The sequence below is a fragment of the Homo sapiens genome, chromosome 2, assembly GCF_000001405.40.
Source record: "Homo sapiens chromosome 2, GRCh38.p14 Primary Assembly".
In the NCBI taxonomy this organism is placed as follows: Eukaryota; Metazoa; Chordata; class Mammalia; order Primates; family Hominidae; genus Homo; species Homo sapiens.
The window spans coordinates 237,914,691-237,936,065 of NC_000002.12; the positions used below are offsets into that span (position 1 = coordinate 237,914,691).

Below are 21,375 nucleotides of genomic sequence, written 5' to 3' on the forward strand. Positions count from 1 at the left end.
CTGCTGTTTGCTGCTGGTTGTGGTTGTGGAGGGGTGTGTTATACTTTGTGGACATGAATCTCCTGCCACACATCTTTCTAGGTGGCCACTCACAGCTGTGCTACCACTTGCCTCAGATTAATAAGATTTGTTTTGATTAAGGACAGTAACCTTTCCCAGGACACCGGGACCGTGGCTGCTTTTCACATCACAGCACCGACAGACCCTCATGACCACTGCCCCATTATAGGGAAGCAGACCAAGGGAAACTAGACACTGAAATTCAGAGGCTGGTTTTATGTAGGAGAAGGTGTTCCCAGAGCACTCTAATCAAAAAAGGTCTGATCCAAAAGATGTCACCCAATTTCATAAACTTCAGAGTGTTGGCTGTTCTGGAAGGATGGTATGCCTATTCTACAACTTGGAAAAGTATGTCTACTGTCATCAGAAATAAATGTGACAGGCCGGGCATGGTGGCTCACGCCTGTAATCCCAGCACTTTGGGAGGCCAAGGTGGGCAGGCAGATCACTTGAGGTCAGGAGTTCGAGACCAGCCTGGCCAACATGGTGAAACCCCGTCTCTACTAAAATTACAAAAAATTAGCCAGGCGTGGTGGTGCACACCTGTAATCCCAGCTACTCAGGAGGCTGAAGCAGGAGAATCACTTGAACCCAGGAGGCGGAGGTTGCAGTGAGCTGAAATGGCGCCACTGCACTCCAGGCTGAGCAGGAGAGTGAGACGAAGAGGAGGGGAGGGGAGGGGAGGGGCCGCAGAAAAGACCACGCTGAGACCAGGTCTTCCTTACTGTCCCGCCTCCACACACTCCCAACTCACAGGGACAATAATGGCATCTTCCTCAAGTGGGTATTATGTTAATGAGGTAAAATGGGTTAGTCTGAGTTTTCCGAGAAGTAGATGTGGAGACTGGGTTTCAGATGCAGGGTGGTTATTGGGGCAAACTCCAGAAGCATTAGGGAGCCAGTGGGGAAGACCCGGGGATCTGCCCTAGGCTGCCATGCCGTCTAAGGTTCCACAAAGCCATGGGGGTGTCCTTGCACCAAAGCCAGCTGTCAGAGCCTTCCTGGGGGAGGAGGTCTGCCTGAATCCCTTCCCACCCCAGCCTCAAGCAGCGGGGCAGCCCTCGTGAAGCGTGGCCTCGCAGGAAGCCACGAGGCATTTCAGAGCCAGCAGCTGGGGCCCTCGGTCGGCTCTGCTCCCTTGGTTGAACCAAAGAATGTGGCCTTATCTGGAAATAAGGACTTTGCAGGTGTAATTAGTTAAATTCAAATAAGATTGTACTTGATTAAAGTGGGCCCTGCATTCAGTATGCAGGTGTCCTTAGAGAAGAGGGGATACACCAGGACAGAGAGAGAAGGCCACAGAGATTGGAGCCATGCAGCGAAGAAACGGGGGGGCCGAGGTATCACTCCAGAAGCTGCGAGACACAGAGGCTCCCCGCAGAGCCTTCAGAGGACACAGCCTCTGCAGCCCCTCCTGAAATCACGGCTCAGTAGGCGTTATCATTAGAATGCTTTAGACAGTACTAACAGTGCGCAATGTCATTACTTTAAAATTATCCAAGCTAAGGGAAGAGACGAGGGTGATGGAGAATTTCTCAGTATTTAGACTGGACTTCAGAATGTGTGTTTGCGAAGGTTTAGGGGGAGCAAGAGAGCTTTCGGTTTTCCTTCTTCATCGTCAGGTCACGATGGGCAGCGGGTGAGGTCTACGGGCAAGGCCAGCTGTGGCTGGGATGGGCAAAGCTCTGCCCTTACCAGGATGCCCTGTCCGCTCAGGTTCCTGGTCAAGTATTTGCACATCACAAGGCTGGGAACCAAGAACTGAACGCCGGCACGTAGGGTGGTAAAGGAGAGGTGGGCCGGGCATGGAAGCACCGTCCCTTCTCCAGCCTTCTCTGATGGGCCCAGGACGGGAGGCAGTGTTGACACAGGGAGGGTCTGGGGTCTCTACTAAGCTGACTGGGAAACCAGTGGCAGGGGTGTGTGTGTGTGTGTGTGTGTGTGTGTGTTTGATTTTTGGTTTTGGGGGGGTATTTTGTTCTTTTTTTTTAATTAATTTTTTTTTTTTTTTTGAGAAAGACTCTTACTCTGTCGCCCAGGCTGGAGTGCAGTGGCATGATCTCGACTCACTGCAACCTCCACCTACCAGGTTCAAGCAATCTCCTGCCTCAGCCTCCGGAGTAGCTGGAATTACAGGCATGTGCCACCACGCCCAGCTAATTTTTGTATTTTTAGTAGAGACGGAGTTTCGCCATGTTGGCCAGGCTGGTCTCAAACTCTTGAGCTCAGGTGATCTGCCCGCCTTGGCCTCCCAAAGTGCTGGCATTACAGGTGTGAGCCACCGCACTCGGCCTCCAAAGCCAATTTTAATTAAAAGAAATGAGATTGAGTGGCTTTATTGTGTCCTGAGCTGGAGAAACACTCTCTTATCCAGAGCTTGTCATAAAAATCCATGTCATAAAATGTCACAGAAATCCATAGGAAAAAAATGAATTGGAAATCAAAAAAGCTTTAAAAAGCAAGGGAAAAATATGGAATTTAGCATGGGAAATGGAATTGCCCAAGTACGTCACTTAATGTTTGTCTTAATGAGCTCCCAGAAATAAAATTGCTCTGGGGACAGGGTTTCTTGTAAACCAAGAAGCAGCTCTGGATTGGAAAAATCTTCAAAGAAAGGACATCCCTGTTGGATTTGCTACTAAGGAGGCCACAGACAGCCTGGGAGCGGAGGGGCAGAGGCAGCACCAGAATGCACAATGAGCCTGAGCCTGGGAACAGGTCACTCCTGCCGGAGAGAAAGCCCTGAGGCCTCTGGAGATGCAATCTGCCTCTTGTTTGTCAGAAATGAAAACTAGGCTGGGCACGGTGGCTCACGCCTGTAATCCCAGCACTTTGGGAGGCTGGGAGTCAGGGCGGGGGGATCATTTGAGGTCAGGAGTTCCAGACCAGCCTGACCAACTTGGTGAAACCCCCAGTCTCTACTAAAAATCCAAAAAAATTAGCCAAGCATGGTGGCACGAGCCTGTAATCCTAACCACGCTGGAGGCTGAGGCAGGAGAATCACTTGAATCTGGGAGGCGAAGGTTGCTTTGAGCTGAGATCACACCACTGCACTCCAGCCTGGGAGACAGAGAGACTCCATCAGATAGATAGATCGATAGATCAATAGATAGATAGGTAGATAGATAGATAGATAGATAGATAGATAGATAGATAGATAGATAGATAATGGTACCATCTTTCTGGAGGCCAAGTTGGAAATATGTACCAAAAGTCTTAAAATGCTTATTCCCGGTAATTTCCCTTCTAAGAATATATCCTAAGGACATAATTAAAGATGTGCAAAAGGACAGGAGGGAAAGATCTTCACTGGAGTTATTTATAAGAGCAAAGGGTGGAAACACCCTCAGTGCCCAACACTGGAGGACTGTCAATCAGATTAAAACTCAGATGACAGGGAAAAACTGTTCAATCCAATCAAATCCAGATGACAGGGAAAAACTGTTCCATCCAATCAAATCCAGATGACAGGGAAAAACTGTTCAATCCAATCAAATCCAGATGACAAGGAAAATAGGTTCTTTTTTTTTTTTTCCAGAAACAGAGTCTCACTCTGTCACCCAGGCCTTGGAGTGCAGTGGCACAATCTTGGTTCACTCACTGCCACCTCCACCTCCTGGGTTCAAACGATTCTTCTGCCACAGTCTCCCCAGTAGCTGGGATTACAGGTGTGCACCACCATGCCTGGCTATATTTTTGTATTTTTAGTAGAGACAGGGTTTCCCCATGTTGGCCAGGCTGGTCTCGAACTCCTGACCACAAGTGATCCACCCACCTTGGCCTCCCAAAGTGCTGGGATTACAGGCGTGAGCCATCCACCATGCCTGGCTGGGAAAAACAAGTTCTTAAATTAAGTACATGGGAATTTTTTTTCATAGTGTAGAGTTAATTGGAAAAGGCAGATTATGAAAAAGGAGAGTGAACTGATCTCAATTTTGGTGTGTGTGTGAACACATTCCCCAGGCCATATCCAAGTAGGGGGAGAGCACATAATACAACTAGCAGAAACGATAACAACACAACAGGCTATGGTCTGGATCTAGGTGCCACATCCCAATTACTGGGCTGTCACTCCCTGGCATTAGATCAGCCTTGGCAGGTTCTGAGTCTTTTTTTTTTTTTTTTTTTTTTTTTTAGACGGAGTCTCGCTCTGTCTCCCAGGCTGGAGTGCAGTGGTGCGATCTCCGCTCGCTGCAACCTCCACCTCCCAGGTTCAAGCAATTCTCCTACCTCAGCCTCCCAAGTAGCTGGGATCACAGGCGCCCACTACCATACCTGGCTAATTTTTACATTTTTAGTAGAGACGGGGTTTCACCATGTTGGCCAGGCTGGTCTTGAACTCCTGACAAGTGGTCCACCCACCTCGCCCTCCCACAGTGCTGAGATTACAGACATGAGCCACGATGCCCAGCAGGTTCTGATCTTGACTGGACCCCTTTTTAGCTGAGTGACTTTGAGCAAACTTTTCATCTTTCTGATAATTTTGTGTGCATGGAAAAGATGACTTAGCATTGGTCACATGCCCTATTCCAAGGATGGTGTTTGAGCTCCAAAGAGCAGGCCACCTGCCAGAGGACCCGTATTTTTTGGGGACAGGGATGAGAATGGGCAAGAAGAGAGCAGATGTAGGCTGGGAGCCTTGAGAACGGGAGAGGAAAGAGGTTTCAAGACATTTTTCTCTAGATTGTGAACATAATTGCACTTTGGTTCCCCCTAGAACAAATTTAAGAAGGACCTAAATTGCTTTTCAAGGCTATTTTAGGAAGTGAACTTGGATCTGACTTTGTTTTTTTTCTTCCTGGGCCTGTGCGGAGGTGGACCATGGGTGCCCATCTTTATTTGGGTTACAAAAATGTGAAGGGGGTGCAGAGGAACAGCGGGAAGAGAGCAGCCCTCCAAAGCATCCCTCTCTGCCCCACCCCAGCCACAATCCTTGGGCCTGGGGACAGTGCTCATGCCCCCACGTGAATCGCTTCCCCACAGACACTCTGACAGGAGGCCGGGGAAGTTTGCTTCCTGTTTTCTGGGGGCAGGGCGGGAGGCAGACAGGGGTGACTGGAGGTGCATGTCCATGACAGGTGGCAGCTGCTTTCCATCCCCAGTGCATCCTGCCATGAGAGCACCTACATCCCAGCCCTGCCCCTGCCACCTAAGATCTCTTCTTACAAGAAGCAGTGCCACCTTTAAAATGTTTCAAATGGTCAGGCCGGGTGCAATGGCTCCCACTTGTAATCCCAGTACTTTGGGAGGCTGAGGAGAGCAGATTGCTTGAGCTCAGGAGTTCGAGACCAGGCTGGGCAACACGACGAAACCCCATCTCTACCAAAAATACAAAAACTTAACCAGGTATGGTGGCGCACACCTGTGGTCCCAGCTACTCTGGAGGCTGAGGTGGGAGGATCACTTAAGCCTGGAGGTGGGAGGCTGCAGCAAGCCAAAATCATGCCACCGCACTCCAGTGTGGGTGACGGAGCAAGACCCCATCTCAAAAAAAAAGTTTCAGATGGTCATAGGTGTGAAAGTATATAATGTAAATAAAATGTTTTAAAAAACAATATTTTTAAAAGTTGTAGCATAGAAGTGATGGCACCAAGCTGCCTTAGTTGAAACCAAATCCTGGCTGTGCCGATTAAAAATGGTGAGGCAGGCTGGGCACAGTGGCTCACGCCTGTCATCCCAGCACTTTGGGAGGCTGAGGCTGAGGCTGGAGGATCACTTGAGCCCAGGAGTTTGAGACCAGCCTAGGCAACATAGTGAGACCTCATCTCTACAAAAAAATTTAAAAAATTAGCTGGGTGTGGTGGCATGTGCCTGTAGTCCCAGCTACTCAGGAGGCTGTGGGGGAGGATCGCTTGGGCTGGGGAGGCAGTAAGCCATGATCACACCACTGCACTCCAGCCTGGGTGACAGAATAAGACCCCATGTCAAAAAAAAAAAAAAAGAAAGGAAGGAAGAAAGGCGAGGCAAGCTCCTCAACCCTCTGGGCTTCAGTGTCATCGCCTGCAGAGTGCTGGCCATGGACACTTCAGGGACTCACAGTGAAGACAGCCCTTGGCCATGTGGCAGGCACATGGCAAACGCTGCTAACCGGGGCCATAGTGATTCACTTTCACAGCAGGGCTGGGAGCTGTGGCTGCACGTGCACGTGAACACATGTGGGTAAATGCTCCCGTCTCTCAGTGTTCCCAGCCCTTCTGCACAGAAGGTCGGGTGAGTCAAAAGGAGAATAATCGGTGATCATAATGATAGGAAACGATCGAGTTTGGGGATTGTCTCCTCCTCCTCGGGCTCGGCTGAGGATAAAGCAGTGCAGTCGGAGTCTGCCCAAGCTGCTGCTATAACAGGCTGGGGACTTAAACAACAGAAGTGCGTTTCTCGCAGCTGTGGAGGCTGGAAGCCTGAGATCAAGGGGTCGGCAGGGTTGGTTCCTTCTGATGCCTCTCTTCTTGGCTTGTCATTTCCTCCCTGCCTCATATGGTCGTCTTTCTGTGCCTGCATCCTAATCTTTTTTTTTTCTTTTGAGACAGGGTCTCGCCCAGTCACCTAGGCTGGAGTGCAGTGGCGCAATCTCCGCTCGCTGCAGCCCCCACCTCCCGGGTTCAAGCAATTCTCCCACCTCAGCCTCCCAAGTAGCTGGGATTACAGGTGTGTGCCACCACGCTTGACTAATTTTTGTATTTTTAATAGAGATGGGGTTTCACCATGTTGGCCAGGCTGGTCTTGAACCCTTGACCTCAGGTGATCCACCCATATTGGCCTCCCAAAGTGCTGGGATTACAGGCATGAGCCACTGCACCTGGCCCTAATCTTCTCTTCTTATAAGGGCACAGTCACATTGGGTTAGGGCCCACCCAGTGACCTCATTTAACCTTAGTCACCTCTGTAAAGACCCTGGGTCCAAACCCAGTCACATTCTGAGGTACTGCTGGTTAGGACTTCAAGATGTGAAGTCACATTCTGAGGCAAGGACACAACTCAGCCAGGACAAGAGCCACTTCCCCAACCATAAAAGTGTCACCCAGGGCAGTGGGCTTTTCTACCTGACCCAACACAGCCAATTTAAGCTGGAATGGAATTAAAGTGTTGTAATTCACGTGAAAAGTCATGGAAAACGGCACTGCAGTAAGGCATTGGCTACGGAAACATCACAAGATTGAATAAAGACCTGCTTTGCATCAACGCACATCATGGCACGTTCTCATTGTGGGAAAATGTGGTTTAATGAGGGAGACACGGGGAGGGGCAGAAGACCTCAGGGAGATTCCAAAGAGGATTCCCAAGCAGGTGCATTCACGGGCATTGGTGAAAGGCAGCAGGGGCTTGTCATCCCGCTTCTGAAAAATGGGCAACTCTCCACTGATGCCTGTGTTCCCCCATGGGGGAGAGTGGGGGTGGAGAGGGCAGGACCGCCAAACCAGCCTGCCGGGGAAGGTGGGGGACAAGGGCAGGAGTGCAGCCTGGGCCTGCTTCCTGAGGCCAACAGATGCCACCCCTGCAATCCCAGCACTTTGGGAGGTCGAAGTGGGCAGATCGCCTGAGGCCAGGAGTTTGAGATCAGCCTGGGCAACACAGTGAGATCCTGTCCCTACTAAAAAAATTTTTTAAAATTGAGAGAGAGACAGATGTCTGCCGGCCAGCCTCACACAGCGGGCCAGGCCGGAGAAAGCAATGGAGGAACAGAAAGGCCCTGAGCCCCTATGAAGGGGCCCATCCCTGACCTCTGCTCTCCTAGTCTTCATCAGCCTGGAGGTTATGTCCATTTTGCAGTTAAGGAGATTGAGGCACAGGCAGGTGACAACACATGCCCAGTGTCCCTGAGCGCGGGTACTAGAGCCGGAATTGGAAGCCAGCTCTCCGACTCCAGGGCCCCCAGTTCGCTAATGAGTCTCTGCTGCCCTCAGCACAGGAGAGGGTACAACCATCAGGAGCTGGGATTGGAGGAGGGGAGGGCAAGGGAGGCTGTCTGCCTCCAGCCACGTGTGCACTCAGGTGACTCACACCTGAGTGTTTGCAACTCCGGGTACCATAAACCCAGTGGGCCACCCTCTGTGTGACTCATGCCCCCTCCTGCCCAAGTTCTCCCGGGGCCACCCCTGCCCTGGAGGAGTGCCCAACACAGCAGCTGTCATGGCCGATCTCCTGGGAAACCCACCTGGCAGAGCCCAGCCCAGGGAGCCCCACGGGATGCTCTGGTTCTCCTCAGCACTCTCTCTGGCCGATCAGGTTCAAGGACAGCTCTCAGTCTTACCCGGGAGAAGAAACTGGGGCACCTCCTGTTTTCTCCGCTCTGCGTCTCAGCAGGGTTTGCTGAAAGGAGAGCTGCGTCTGCAAGTCCTGCACCTGTTTTGTAAGCCTCACCTGTGCTTCCTGGGGATGGAGTCCTGCCCTGGCCCGCTGTTCCCCAGGAAGGCTGGCAAGCTCAGCCCCCCAGCCAGGACAAGTTGTGGGAAAACCCTGGGAACATAAGGCCACCCAGCTGAGTGAGGAATCTCTGTGTGTCCCCAGAGCACAGCTCAGTCCCCAGCCCATCACAAGCTGGCCCCACGGGCAGAGCACCCTCCCACAGCCCCACTGCCCCTGCTGTCACGTTCCTGCAGCCCTGCAGCCCACCCAAGACTGCCAGGGGACCCTCCTTTCCTCCCAGCCCCCTGATTTTTAATTAAAAAACAATGATTTCCCAAACTGGTACCAATAAGCAGTGAATTCCTGTTGACGAGTTTGGAGGGGACTTTCCTAGTTCATAGAGTCCACGGTTTTAAAAAGATCACTGCTGTCTAGTTTTCCGGTCCTGGCCCCGTGGAAGGTCACGCGCAGCTGAAAATAATTTTCTGGATCAGGAAACAGGCCAGACTGACGCGTGCCCAGGCGGTTCCCTTGCTGGCCGTGGAAGACATCTGGCGGACACCTGGCTGCAGAGGCTCGACTTGGAGTCCAGCTGGGGCTCAACTAGGCTCGCTGGAGGGCAGGGGACCCTGGAAAGAAAACAGGGGCGCAGCTTGCCCTGTGGACCCGGGGCTGCCCAGCGCGATGACACGGGACCGCACGGCCCGCAGGACCCCAGACGCCCGCTAGGGGCGCGCGCGAGCCAGGGGAGCCACGAGGGCCCTGCGGGGAGCGAGCCCGGCAGCCCCGCCCAGGACGCCATGAGTTCTCCTGCTCTTACTCCCCTCCCTTTTTTTCTATCTTTTGTTTTTCTTCTTTTCTTTTCTTTTCTTTTCTTTTCTTTTCTTTTCTTTTCTTTTCTTTTCTTTTCTTTTCTTTTCTTTTCTTTTCTCTCTCTTCTCCTTTTTTTCCCTTTCCTTTCCTTTTTCTCCTTTTCTTTTAAACAAAAAGCATAGTCACATGTACAGCACAGAACAGCCAAAGAACATCTAATGCCTAGCACGTGGTACTGAAAAAAACTATTCATTGGCGTCATTAATTGTAAATAAATGTGACATACACTTCATCAGCCAATCCTCTATTGTTAGACATGAAGCTTGTTACCAATTTCCCCCTATTTCTTGTCACCTTCTTTTATTATACAAGTACATTGTAGAAAACACAGGTAAAAAAGGCCGGGCGCGGTGGCTCACACTTGTAATCCCAGTACTTTGGGGGCCAAGGCGGGCAGATCGCGAGGTCAGGAGATCGAGACCAGACTGGCCAACACGGTGAAATCTCGTCTCTACTAAAAACACAAAAATTACCTGGGCATGGTGGCATGCGCCATGTAGCCTGTAATCCCAGCTACGCGGGAGGCTGAGGCAGGAGAATCGTTTGAACCCTGGAAGCCGAGGTTGCCGTGAGCCGAGATTGCGCCATTGCACTCCAGTGCAGACAGAGCGAAACTCGGTCTCAAAAAACAAAGCAAAAAGAATAAAAAGCAAATGCAGGTAAACAAACCGTCTTAATTCCAACCATTCAGATAATCTTTAACATACATTTTGGCATTAATTTATACTTAAGTACATAGATGATAGACAGATAGATGCTTGTATTAAAAAAAAAAAAGGGGGGGCTTGCTGGGCGCGGTGGCTACACCTGTAATCCCAGCACTCTGGGAGGCTGAAGTGGGCAGATCACTTGAGTTCAGGAGTTCGAGACCAACCTAGCCAATATGATGAAACCCCGTCTCTACTAAAAATGCAAAAATTAGCTGGGTCTGGTGGTGCATGCCTGTAGTCCCATCTACTCAGGAGGCTGAGGTGAGAGAATCGCTGGAACCCAGGAGGCAGAATTCGCAGTGAGCCAAGATTGTGACACTGCACTGCAGCCTGGGCAACAGAGGGAGACTCTGTTTCAAAAATAATAATAATTATTAATTAATTAATTAAAATGGCCTCATACTCTTTTGTAAATGGCTTTATCAATTTAAAAATTACTTTTTTTAGAAAATGACTACACATTTTTTATAAGCTCTGAAGGGCAGGGGTTTCATCTGTTTGTTTACATTTTTATTAATTACTTTTTTTTTGAGACAGAGTCTCACTCTGTCACCCTGGCTGGAGTGCAGTGGCACTATCTCGGCTCACTGCAACCTCCACCTCCCGGGTTCATGCAATTCTCCTGCCTCAGCCTCCCAAGTAGCTGGGATTATAGGCGCCTGCCACCACGCCCGGCTAACTTTCGTATTTTTAGTAGAGACAGGGTTTCACCTTCTTGGCCAGGCTGGTTTCCAACTCCTGACCTCAAGCGATCCGCCCGCCTTGGACTCCCAAAGTGCTGGGATTACAGGTGTGAGCCACTGTGCCTGGCCTGTTTTGTTTATTGCTATTTATAAATAACGCTCTGATGTGCACTTCCATAATACAAATGTTTAGAAATAGAATATTTGGGTCAAGGAGATCCCTAGGCTCTGCGTAGCTGTTGCCATATCCCTCGCGCATGTTTGCATCTCCCCGACACACCAGTATTGATGCAAGTTTCTGCTTACTCCAGTACTTTAGCCAGAACTTTAGCCAGAACTGGGTATTAACTTTAACAGCTGGATCAGGAAAAGATGCTCCCAACTGCAGTTTTCATTACACACATCTGATTACAGCAAGGCCAATGTTTTCCCCACGGGTGTGGTCATAGGAAGTCTTCTTTGGTGAATTACTGCACAGGCCTGTGGCCCATGTATAAGTTATGACACTCTTCATAACAGCAGTCTGCCCCCGCAAGTTTAGGAACTTATGCACAAAAGGCCCCTGTTTTCTTGAGTATTTTCGCATGCATATTCATAAGCCAGTCTGTAGTCATTTTGCAGGGAAGGAGTCTATTTTGATCAGGCTAATTGTTTTGTATTTTTAGTAGAGATGGGGTTTCACCATGTTGGCCAGGTTGGTTTCAAACTCCTGGACTCAAATGATCCACCCACCTCGGCCTCCCAAAGTGCTGGGATTATAAGCGTGAGCCACCTCGCCTGGTCAAGAATGTATATTCTACCTCACACCATATGTGAAAATTAACTTGAAATGGGTCAAAGGCCTAGATGTAAGTTTAAAACTCTTAGAAGGAAACATAGGTATAAATCTTCATGACCTTGGGTCAGGCAATGGTTTCTTAAGTATGAAACCACAAGCACAAGCCACAAAAGGAACAAATAGATAAATTGGACTTCATCAAAACTTAAAACTTTTTTGCATCAAATGACTCCATCAAGAGAGTATTTCTGTGCAGCTGCTGAGGCAGAAAGAAAAAGAAAGTAAAAAGGCCAGGTGCAGTGGCTCACACCTGTAATCCCAGCACTTTGGGAGGCCGAGGCAGGCAGATTGCTTGAGCTCAGGGGTTTGAGACCAGCCTTGGTAACATGGTGAAACCCCATATCTACAAAAAATACAAAAATTAACCGGGCGTGGTAATGTGTGCTTGTAGTCTTAGCTACTCGGGAGGCTGAGGTGGATCACCTAAGCCCTGGAGGCGGAGGTTGCAGTGAGCCAAGATTACTCCATTGCATTCCAGCCTGGATGACAGAGTGAGACCCTGTCTCAAAAAAAAAAAATTATATATATATATATATATATATATATATATATATATGCCAGCACTCCTCAAAACTGTCAAGATCATAAAAACAAAAGAAGTCTGAAAAACTGTCACAGCCAAGAGGAACTCAAGGAAACATGACAACTGAATGTCATGTGGTATCCTGGATGGGCTCCTGAATATAAAAAGAATATTAGGAAAAAACTAAGGAAATAGGAATAAAATATAAGCTTTAGTTAACAATAATGCATTTGAATAGTGGTTTATTAATAGTAACAAATGTACCTTATTCACATAAAATGTTAGTGATAGAGTTAACAGTGTGGCGTATATGGCAGCTCTCTGTACTCTATTTGCAACTGTTCTGTAAATCTCAAACTGTTCTAAAATAAAATGTTATTTTAAAAAGATAAAAACAGTGGCTGTCCCTGTTCCATCAGTTTGGTGAGTCAGTGTCCCTGTAGGTTGTAGAATGAAAATACCCAACACTGAAATTCAAACGCAACACAGATGATTGTGGAGGTGGTTCAAAAGACAGTAATTTGAATATCAAAGTTTCTAGAGACGCACTGGAGAAAACCGATCAAGTACTTTTGCAAAAATGACCCTCTTTCTTGAGAAGGCCAAACACGCTGGGTAGGAGTTCACATGGAGCTGTCCAGCCTCCTGGCCGCTGAAACCCTGATCAATACTTGATGGATTCTTTGTTCTAGAATGGGCAGGTGGCACCAGGAAGATGATGGGTCTTCACCCCTGGAGCTGCACCAGAGCTCAACCTATGACAACCTGGCTCAGCCTATGACAACCTATGAACACCCTGTGCTCTTCCTAGGAAGGATCAGGAGAAACACCAGGACCCCAAACCCCCAGAGCTAAAAGATGGCACCAGGCTCTAAGTAGAAACCCATGGGATGAAGACCAAAGCCACTGATACCTCTGGCTCTCCCCAGGGAATTCCATGGTTACAGGTGTGCACCCCACACCTGATCCCACCAGAGGCTGGAAGAGGAAAGGGGCGGGATGGGGGCTAGGGGAAGTAGGCAGGTAGGGCAGGGCAGTCCATCTTTTGCAAGTAGCAATGGATCTCTCTCCAGGAGGCAGAGAACTAGCTCTGGGGCAGCCTCTTTCTGTGCTTTGGGAGATCCACTTTGAGGGTTACAAACCCTCAAAGCTGCTCCTACAAGTCTTCTTGGGCAAACTGGGACTTTGGCATGGCTGGCAGTGTTACCAAAACACCAGGAATTTGGTCTAGGTCCTAGTGCTTGCCACGCCCATCACTGAAACCACAATTATTGCCCTGGAAGAAGGCTTTAATTGGGTGCTGCAGCCAAGGATTTGGGGTATACGTCTCAAATCCATCCCGACTGACTACAGTTAGGGGTTGGTACAGCAGAAACGTAACCACATGCAGGAAAGCAGGAATTAGGGAGGGGTAAGGAAGAGGAGTCAGTTAACAGGGAGCAGGTGGCCAGTTAGGCAGTCATCAGAGGTGAGGGGTTTGGCTTCTCATTGTCCAAATGCAGTGACTGGTGAGTTTCAGCTTCTTGATACTATCTGGGAGGCCAGCTGCTTGGTCTCCTGAGAAAGGAGCTCAGAAAAAACAAACATAACTTTCTCAAATTTCAAGACTGGGAGGCGCAATTTCTATGTTTACTCAAAATAAACTATAAACATCAGTCTTGATTTGTTTTGTTTTGTTTTGAGACAGTTTCACTCTGTTGCCCAGCCTAGGGTGCAGTGACACCGTCTTGGCTCGCTGCAACCTGGGTTCAGGTGATTCTCACGCCTCAGCCTCCCAAGTAGCTGGGATTACAGGCGCACACTACCACACCTGGCTAATTTTTTTTAGTTTTTGCATTTTTAGTAGAGACGGGGTTTCGCCATGTTGGCCAGGCTGGTCTCGAACTCCTGGCCTCAAGCCCACCTCAGCCTCCCAAAATGCTGGGATTACAGGCGTGAGCCATTGCACCTGGCCTATAAACATCAGTTCTATGGGACAATCGGGTGGGTTTCGGCAGGAGCCTTCCAGGTTCTGGGGTGTAATTGACAGGGACTTGGCTTTGTCACCACAGAAAGTGAGAGTCGATAGCTTCAGCTGTGCATGAATTGAGACCATCTTGACCTTGAACCGAGGCTTTTTCTAGAAGATCATTTGAATGTTTTTTCCTGGGCGGGTGAGGCAGGGAACCACGCATCCACCAGTACAAAACACAATCACGAACTAACAAGCACAGCGCAGATCTGTAAATACTGATGTGGAATTAACCCCACAAAATTCTGTTAGGTGAAAGGAACATAAAAATAATCGAATTTGTCCACTGAAATTTTCTAGCAGGTCAAACGAGAAACAACATTGGTTGACTCAGAGGAAAGTTACTGGGGTACTGGTTAGGAAGGAAATTTGTGTATCCTCTTTTTTTGTTGTTTTTGCTGAGATGGGGTCTCCCTCTGTTGCCCAGGCTGGAGTGCACTGGCACAATCTCAGCTCACTGCAACCTCTGCCTCCTGGGTTCAGGTGATTCTTGTGCCTCAGCCTTCTGAGTAGCTGGAATTACAGGTGCATACCACCATGCCCATCTAATTTTTGTTTTTGTGTGTTTTTTTTTTTTTTTTTTTTTTTTGAGACGGAGTCTCACTCTGTCGCCCAGGCTGGAGTGCAGTGGCATTATCTTGGCTCATTGCAAGCTCCGCCTCCCAGGTTCATGCCATTCTCCTGCCTCAGCCTCCCAAGTAGCTGGGACTACAGGTGCCTGTCACCACGCCCAGCTAATTTTTTTCCATTTTTTAGTAGAGACGAGGTTTCACCGTGTTAGCCAGGATGGTCACGATCTCCTGACCTCGTGATCTGCCCTCCTCGGCCTCCCAAAGTGCTGGGATTACAGGCGTGAGCCACCACGCCCCGCCTTTAATTTTTGTATTTTTTAGTAAAGACAGGGTTTTGCCATGTTGGCCAGGCTGGTCTCAAGCTCTTGGCCTCAAGTGACCCACCCACCTTGGCCTCCCAAAAGTGTTGGGATTATAGGCATGAACCACCATGCCCGGCCACGTTACGATTTTTAAAGTCTAACCTAACCAAACTGTCAGAAACTTAAAATGACAACACTTTCATTCCAATTAATTGTACTAGAATGTTCCAAGCAAATATCCCCTTCCTTCCCCAGGCCAGGGCCCAGCCATGCCTCCCACTCCTCCAGGCTGCTGGGCTAGTTGCTGGGTCCTGGGGTGGCCCACAGGGACTTTGCCTACTGTAATTTCCACCAGCACCCCCAAGCCACCCCAGCTAAACACACAATTGAAGTACAAATAGCATGTTCACCATCTGAAGACGAGTCACCTATTTTCTGCTTCCAACTGGACTGTGTTCTCAAGACCCCCTGCATTCATTTATATCGCTGGGTAACATATTTCCCGGCTGGTGAGAAGTCCCGGCGTGGCCCAGCTATGTCCTCTGAGATGGCAGGGTCTCATGAGGCTGTCACCAGGTGTCCGCTGGGTCACATCCTCCTCTTGCAGATGCAGGAGGCAGACACATGCCTAGGCAGATGGGGCAGAACCCCAGTGAAACCCTACCTCCAAGACAAAGACAGTTTAAAACCTGAAAGCCAAGCTACAAGTCAAATCCACGGACCAGATTGAGAACCCGTCTTCCCGTTTGGTGCACTTTCCTCTGATTGATCCCCACCCTTCACCTATTTTACAGAAACCTACCCTACCCTAATTGGTTTTTTACACTGTCATGCCCACCTTTGAGCAGTGCCTTTGTTTTAACCTTTTTTGCATACTCACAAACCAATCAGCACACACTCCCCATTCTGAGCCTATAAAATCCCAGACCCAGCCACACTGAAGGAGAGACCACCCAACTTAGAGTGGAGGACAACCCTTGCATCCCCTCTCCACTGAGAACTTTTCCATCACTCAATACAGTTATTATCTGCCCTCCTCATCCTTCGATGGTCAGGGTAACCTCATTCTTCCTGGACATGAGACAAGAGTTCAGGAACCACCAAATGTGGGTAGGAGCTATAACACAGGCAGGCTGGGGCACACATGGCCCAGCTACGGGCTGAGCTGGTGCACAAGCTCAGTGCAGCCCAGTGGACTGAATGGGTGGGGCATGTGACCAAGGGGCCCTGGCTTTTGCTGGCCTCTGACTGAAGGTCCCCCTCAGGTCCTTGTTAGTGGTTTTTTGTTAGGTGAACTTATAACATAACACGGTCCTTATTTCATCAAGCCAGGAAGGAGAATCTCCAATGTGTGCTGGTAAGATGGAGGCTTGTCTAGGTATCTATAGTAACTCAGTCATGGGAGTGACATCCTGTCACCTGTGCTATATTCTACTGGTTATAAGCAAGTCACAGGTCCCACTCACACTCAAGAGGAAGGGATTATATAGGGCATGAACCCTAGGGTCTTTCTGCCATACCCTCCCACAGGGAGATTTTTGAGCTGGCACTGGCAGGGCCCTGGGGAGGAGTTATGGGATGCTACACTGCCAGGAGCAGAGGAACTGTGCAGGGTTTGTGCCCTCACAGGCACTCAGATTCACAGTGACTGGCCCAGAAAGACGAAAGGCATTTAACATGGTAAAGCCACAGGGCTGTACCTAATGGGACCTTTTGCCATGTGCCATTATGTGTGATGTTAACGGTGGCCCTGAGTTGTGCAGCGCACACCTGCGCAACTGTTTGCAGCAGCCCGGACCCCCACCTGTGGATGAGAGGCTTCTTCAGAGCACTGCCTCGCTGATGATCATTATCTGGTCGGACTCCAGTTCCACCAACAGACCATATGTCTGTGCAGCTGAGTTTACTTTACACTACATCCTCTTTTCCAGCTATTCTGTGACTTCTCAGTTCCTCAAACACACCCGAAGCTTGAAATATTTTCTCTGGAACTTTTGGCTCTGGTTTTACCCTCTGCAATTCAAAACTCACAGCCTCTCAGAGTTTGTTTATTTTCTTACACTGCTGGGTGAGTCTCTAGAAACGAAATATCAAAGCCAGCTGGAGTCTCAAATGAGAATCCTGATTATTCCAGAGCAATGATTGTCACAGTTGTCATGTAAGTGGGGGCAGCCCACCCCCCACAATGCATTGCAGTGGCAGTGCCACAGTTACAGGTTAGGCACATGCTCCAAACAGTTCTATTCATCCCCAGGCATCCTTGGCACAGCTCAAGACTGTTTTTCAATTAACAATAAACGTAGAAGGTGCCGGCCGGGTGCGGTGGCTCATGCTGTATTCCCAGCACTTTGGGAGGCTGAGGTGGGCAGACCATCTGAGGTCAGGAGTTTGAGACCAGCCTGGCCAACATGGCGAAACCCCGTCTCTTCTAAAAATACAACAATTAGCCAGGTGTGGTGGCACGCACCTGTAGTCCTAGCTACTCGGGAGGCTGAGACAGGAGAATCGCTTGAACCCAGGAGGCAGAGGTTGCAGTGAGCCAAGATTGTGCCACTGCACTCCAGCATGGGCAACAGAGCGAGACTCTATCTCAAAAACATAAATAAATAAATAAACAAACAAACATAGAAGGTGCAGAATTTTAGAACAGCAATTGCTGAGCTTGTATCTGGACCCATTTACAGAGATAGACCATATTCTAGGCCAAGCTTATCCAATCCGCAGCCTGTGGGCCACTTGTGGCCCAAGATAGCTTTGAATGTAGCCCAACGCAAATTCATAAACTTTCTTAAAACATTATGAGACACTTTGGGAGGCTGCGGTGGGTGGACCACTTGAGGTTAGGAGTTCGAGACCAGCCTGGCCAACATGGTGAAACCCTGTCTCTACTAAAAACACAAAAATTAACTGGGCATGGTGGCGCATGCCTGTAGTCCCAGCTACTTGGGAGGCTGAGACACAAGTATCACTTGAACCCTGGAGGTGGAGTTGCAGTGAACTGAAATCATGCCACTGCACTCCAGCCTGGGTGACAGAGTGAGACTCTGTCTCAAAAATAATAATAATAATAATAATATGTTTATTGCATTTTTTTTTAGCTCATCAGCTATTGTTAGTGTTAGTGTATTTTATGTGTGGCCCAAGACAATTCTCCTTCTTCCAAATTGGCCCAGGGAAGCCAAAAGATTCGACACCCCTGTAATGCAGGTCATAAAGTCTCAAAAATGTTTTTGAAGAATGCAAGCTGTACTAAGTATGTTTTCTGACCACAGTGGAATCAAATGATAAACCAGAAACAGAAAGATCTCTGGAAAATCCCCAAGTATGTGAAACTGGATATCACACTTCTAAATAATTCATGAGTCAACCAAAAATAAAATTAGAAAATATTTTGAACTGAATAAAAATGAAAATGCAACATACCAGGCTGGGTGTGGTGGCTCATGCTTGTAATCCCAGCACTTTGGGAGGCCAAGGCGGGCAGATCACGAGGTCAGGAGTTCCAGACCAGCCTGGCCAACACAGTGAAACCCCATCTCTACTAAAAATACAAAAAATTAGCTGGACATGGTGGCAGGCATCTGTAATCCCAGCTACTCAGGAGGCAGAGGCAGGAAAATTGCTTGAACCTGGGAGGCGGAGGTTGCAGTGAGCCGAGATCATGCCACTGTACTCCAGCCTGGGTGACAGAGCGAGACTCCGTCTCAAAAAGAAAAATAAAAAAAAAGGAAATGCAACATACCTAAGTTCACAGGATGCCCTTAAAGCAGGAATCAGGGAAACGTAAAGCCTAGATTGTAAATGAAGAAGAAATGCCTGTACTTTGAACCACCTGAAGAAACTAAAGAACAAAGTGGCGTCTCAGACCGTGCATCCAAAGCCCACTTTTTCTTTTATTCCTTTTTTTTTTTTTTTTTTTTTTGAGACAGTTTCACTCTTGTCGCCCAGGCTGGAGTATAGTGGCACGATCTCGGCTCACTGCAACCTCCGCTTCCCGGGTTCAAGCGATTCTCCTGCCTCAGCAGGAGTAGCTGGGATTACAGGCACCTGCCACCACGTCCGGCTAATTTTTGTATTTTTAGTAGAGACGGGGTTTCACCATGTTGGCCAGGCTTGTCTTGAACTTGTGGCCTCAAGTGATCTGCCCGCCTCAGCCTCCCAAAGTGCTGGAATTACAGGCGTGAGCCACCGCGCCCGACCCAAAGCCTGATGCTTCGCGTGCTCCTCCTCTCTGCCTCTCCCCTGCCTCAGCAGCGGCACCGCCATCCTCCAAATCACACAGACCACAAAACTGAGAGTCCAGCTCAACTGGTCTCTTCCCCTTCTACCCCTCTCCACCCCATCAGTCCATCGTGTCCACTCCATCTTCACAGTCAGCCCAGAATCTGATCACTTCTCATTGCCTACACCACAAAGACCACATTCCGAGACACCAAAACAGCTGCTGTAATCCTGCTTTTACTCTCCTTACTTTTCACCTTTCTTCCTTACAGTCTGTTGGAGCCCTCAGAGTAATCTTTTTAAAAGAGCAGCTATACCATGTCTTCTCTGCTCAGATCCCGCCAGTGGCTTCCCATCCACTTCAGAGTAAAAGCCCAAATCCCTGCAGTGGCCTGCAAGGTTCTACATGGCGCAGGTTTGGCATCCACTGTGACCTCATCCCATTCACTGTCTGCCCCTCCTACACCAGGCAGCTTGCCTACCACCTCATTGTCCTCAAGTGAGCCAAGCACAGCCCCAGGGCCTTTGCACCTGCAGTTCTCTCTGTCTGGAATGACTTCTTCCACCCTTCACCATCCTCAGGTCTGTGCCCAGCGTGAAGCCCTCCTTGGCCATCCAGCCCCAGCCCTCCCTGTGGCCCACTCGGCCTGCTTCCTTCCCCACCACGCCTCCTCTGAGTGCTCATTCCCTGCTGGCTGGCCTCCTCTACTGCCGTCTAAGACCCATGAAGAAGGGATTTGGCCTGTTTGTTTTCTGCTCAGAGCACCCATGGCCTTGTACAGACGCTGGATGTTGAATGTGTTCAATAAATATATTTTGGGCCCCACGCAGTGCTCATCGCCTGTAATCCTAGCACTTTGGGAGGCCTAGGCAGATGGATCTCTTGAGTTCCAGAGTTTGGATCAGTCTGGGCAACACAGAGAAACTCTGTCTCTACCAAAAATACAATAATTAGCTGAGTGTGGTGGCCCATACCTGTAGTCCCAGCTACACAGGAGGCTGAGGTGGGAGGATTGCCTGAGCCCACAAGGTTGAGGCTGCAGTGAACCATGATCATGCCACTGCACTCCAGCCTGGGCAGCAGATCAAGATCCTGTCTCATTTAAAAAAGAAGTTTTGAATGAATGAATAAATGTAACATCATTTAAAATTTTACTTTTAGGAAATATTTTCTTCCCTCCTTTTTTGGAGAAAAGATGTCACGATTTTTTTTTAAACAGAATCAAGAATTTAAAATAGGGCCAGGCACAGTGGCTCACACCTGTAATCCACGCACTTTGGGAGACCGAGGTGGGAGGATTGCTTGAGTTCAGGAGTTCGAGACCAGCTTGGGAAATGTAGCAAAACCCCTCCCATCTCTGCAAAAAACTACAAAAATTAGCCAGGTGTGGTGATGCACACCTGTAGTTGCAGCTGCTCAGGAGGCTGAGGTGGGAGGATGGCTTGAGCCCAGGAGGCAGAGGTTACAGTGAGCCAAGATCACACCACTGTACTCCAGCCTGAGTGACAGTGTGAGAACCTGCCTCAAAAAAAAAAAAAAGGTTAAAAAAGACAAGCTTCCTATAAGAACATATTTATAAAACAAAACCAGCTACAGAGTCGACTGCCATTAATTATCTTCAAACAGGGAAAAGAAATAGGGAGTATTTATTTACAAATTACAAGCTGAGGTTATTTTCCTCTTGTTTTGGTGCTTTTGTTTTTCCTATTATGAATTTTGAGACATACAGAGATGTCCTTTTACATATGCATGTAGTCTAATATTGCTTATTTACAGGAACAATTAAACAAATAAATGCTTTAGTTAACAAACGGACCTAAAATTCAGCAGTTAAAAAATTGTGGGGGGGGAAAAACTCAGTTTAAAAGTGACAATGATTGTTTGCTTGACCATACTTTGGTTAGGCTTCTAAACCTTCCTTCCCCTGGGCCCCTCTGTGCACTTCCTCAGAAAATCCAGTTTTAGCAAAAGAACCCTCTGCTAAATCAGTTTAGCCAGAACTCCTGCCCTCTCGAGAGCCGATCACCCTCCACATCTGAACAGGTTCCTCATCTCCCACCATCCCCCAGGGGATGTCTGATTGCCCTGGCCTGTCTTCAGCAAGCATCCTGTGAGGTCAGTTGCTCCAGAATCCTTGTCACCTGTGACATTTCCTCTTAGTCATTTTCCATCTGCTGACCCCACCCTGCTCCTTGGCTACAAGTCCCTGCTTGCTGGTGCTGCAGTCGGAGTTGAGCG

At 48.8% G+C, this 21,375-nt stretch overlaps 1 long non-coding RNA gene across 1 annotated transcript, besides 3 other annotated features; it reads right to left on the reverse strand.

Annotated features, from left to right (window-relative positions):
* Positions 2,684 to 2,884: a silencer, noted in NCBI's record as "peak4100 fragment used in MPRA reporter construct". NCBI's record gives its function as "represses an SCP1 promoter by STARR-seq MPRAs in K562 erythroleukemia cells {active_cell/tissue: K562}" and the evidence as "EXISTENCE:reporter gene assay evidence [ECO:0000049][PMID:32103011]".
* On the reverse strand, positions 8,196 to 19,527 carry LOC105373960 (uncharacterized). Its single transcript, XR_924046.3, has 3 exons — positions 19,454 to 19,527; positions 8,750 to 9,032; positions 8,196 to 8,367 (listed from the first exon to the last, which is right to left on the reverse strand). It is a non-coding gene; the product is annotated as an uncharacterized LOC105373960 (long non-coding RNA).
* Positions 9,033 to 9,242: a silencer, noted in NCBI's record as "silent region_12482". NCBI's record gives its function as "represses an Ori minimal core promoter by ATAC-STARR-seq in GM12878 lymphoblastoid cells {active_cell/tissue: GM12878}" and the evidence as "EXISTENCE:reporter gene assay evidence [ECO:0000049][PMID:35858748]".
* Positions 18,622 to 18,791: an enhancer, noted in NCBI's record as "experimental_57230 CRE fragment used in MPRA reporter constructs". NCBI's record gives its function as "activates a minimal promoter by MPRAs in K562 erythroleukemia cells, with activity observed for both the introgressed and non-introgressed 2:238842039 variant alleles {active_cell/tissue: K562}" and the evidence as "EXISTENCE:reporter gene assay evidence [ECO:0000049][PMID:34662402]".
* Positions 19,528 to 21,375: the final 1,848 nt, after the last annotated feature.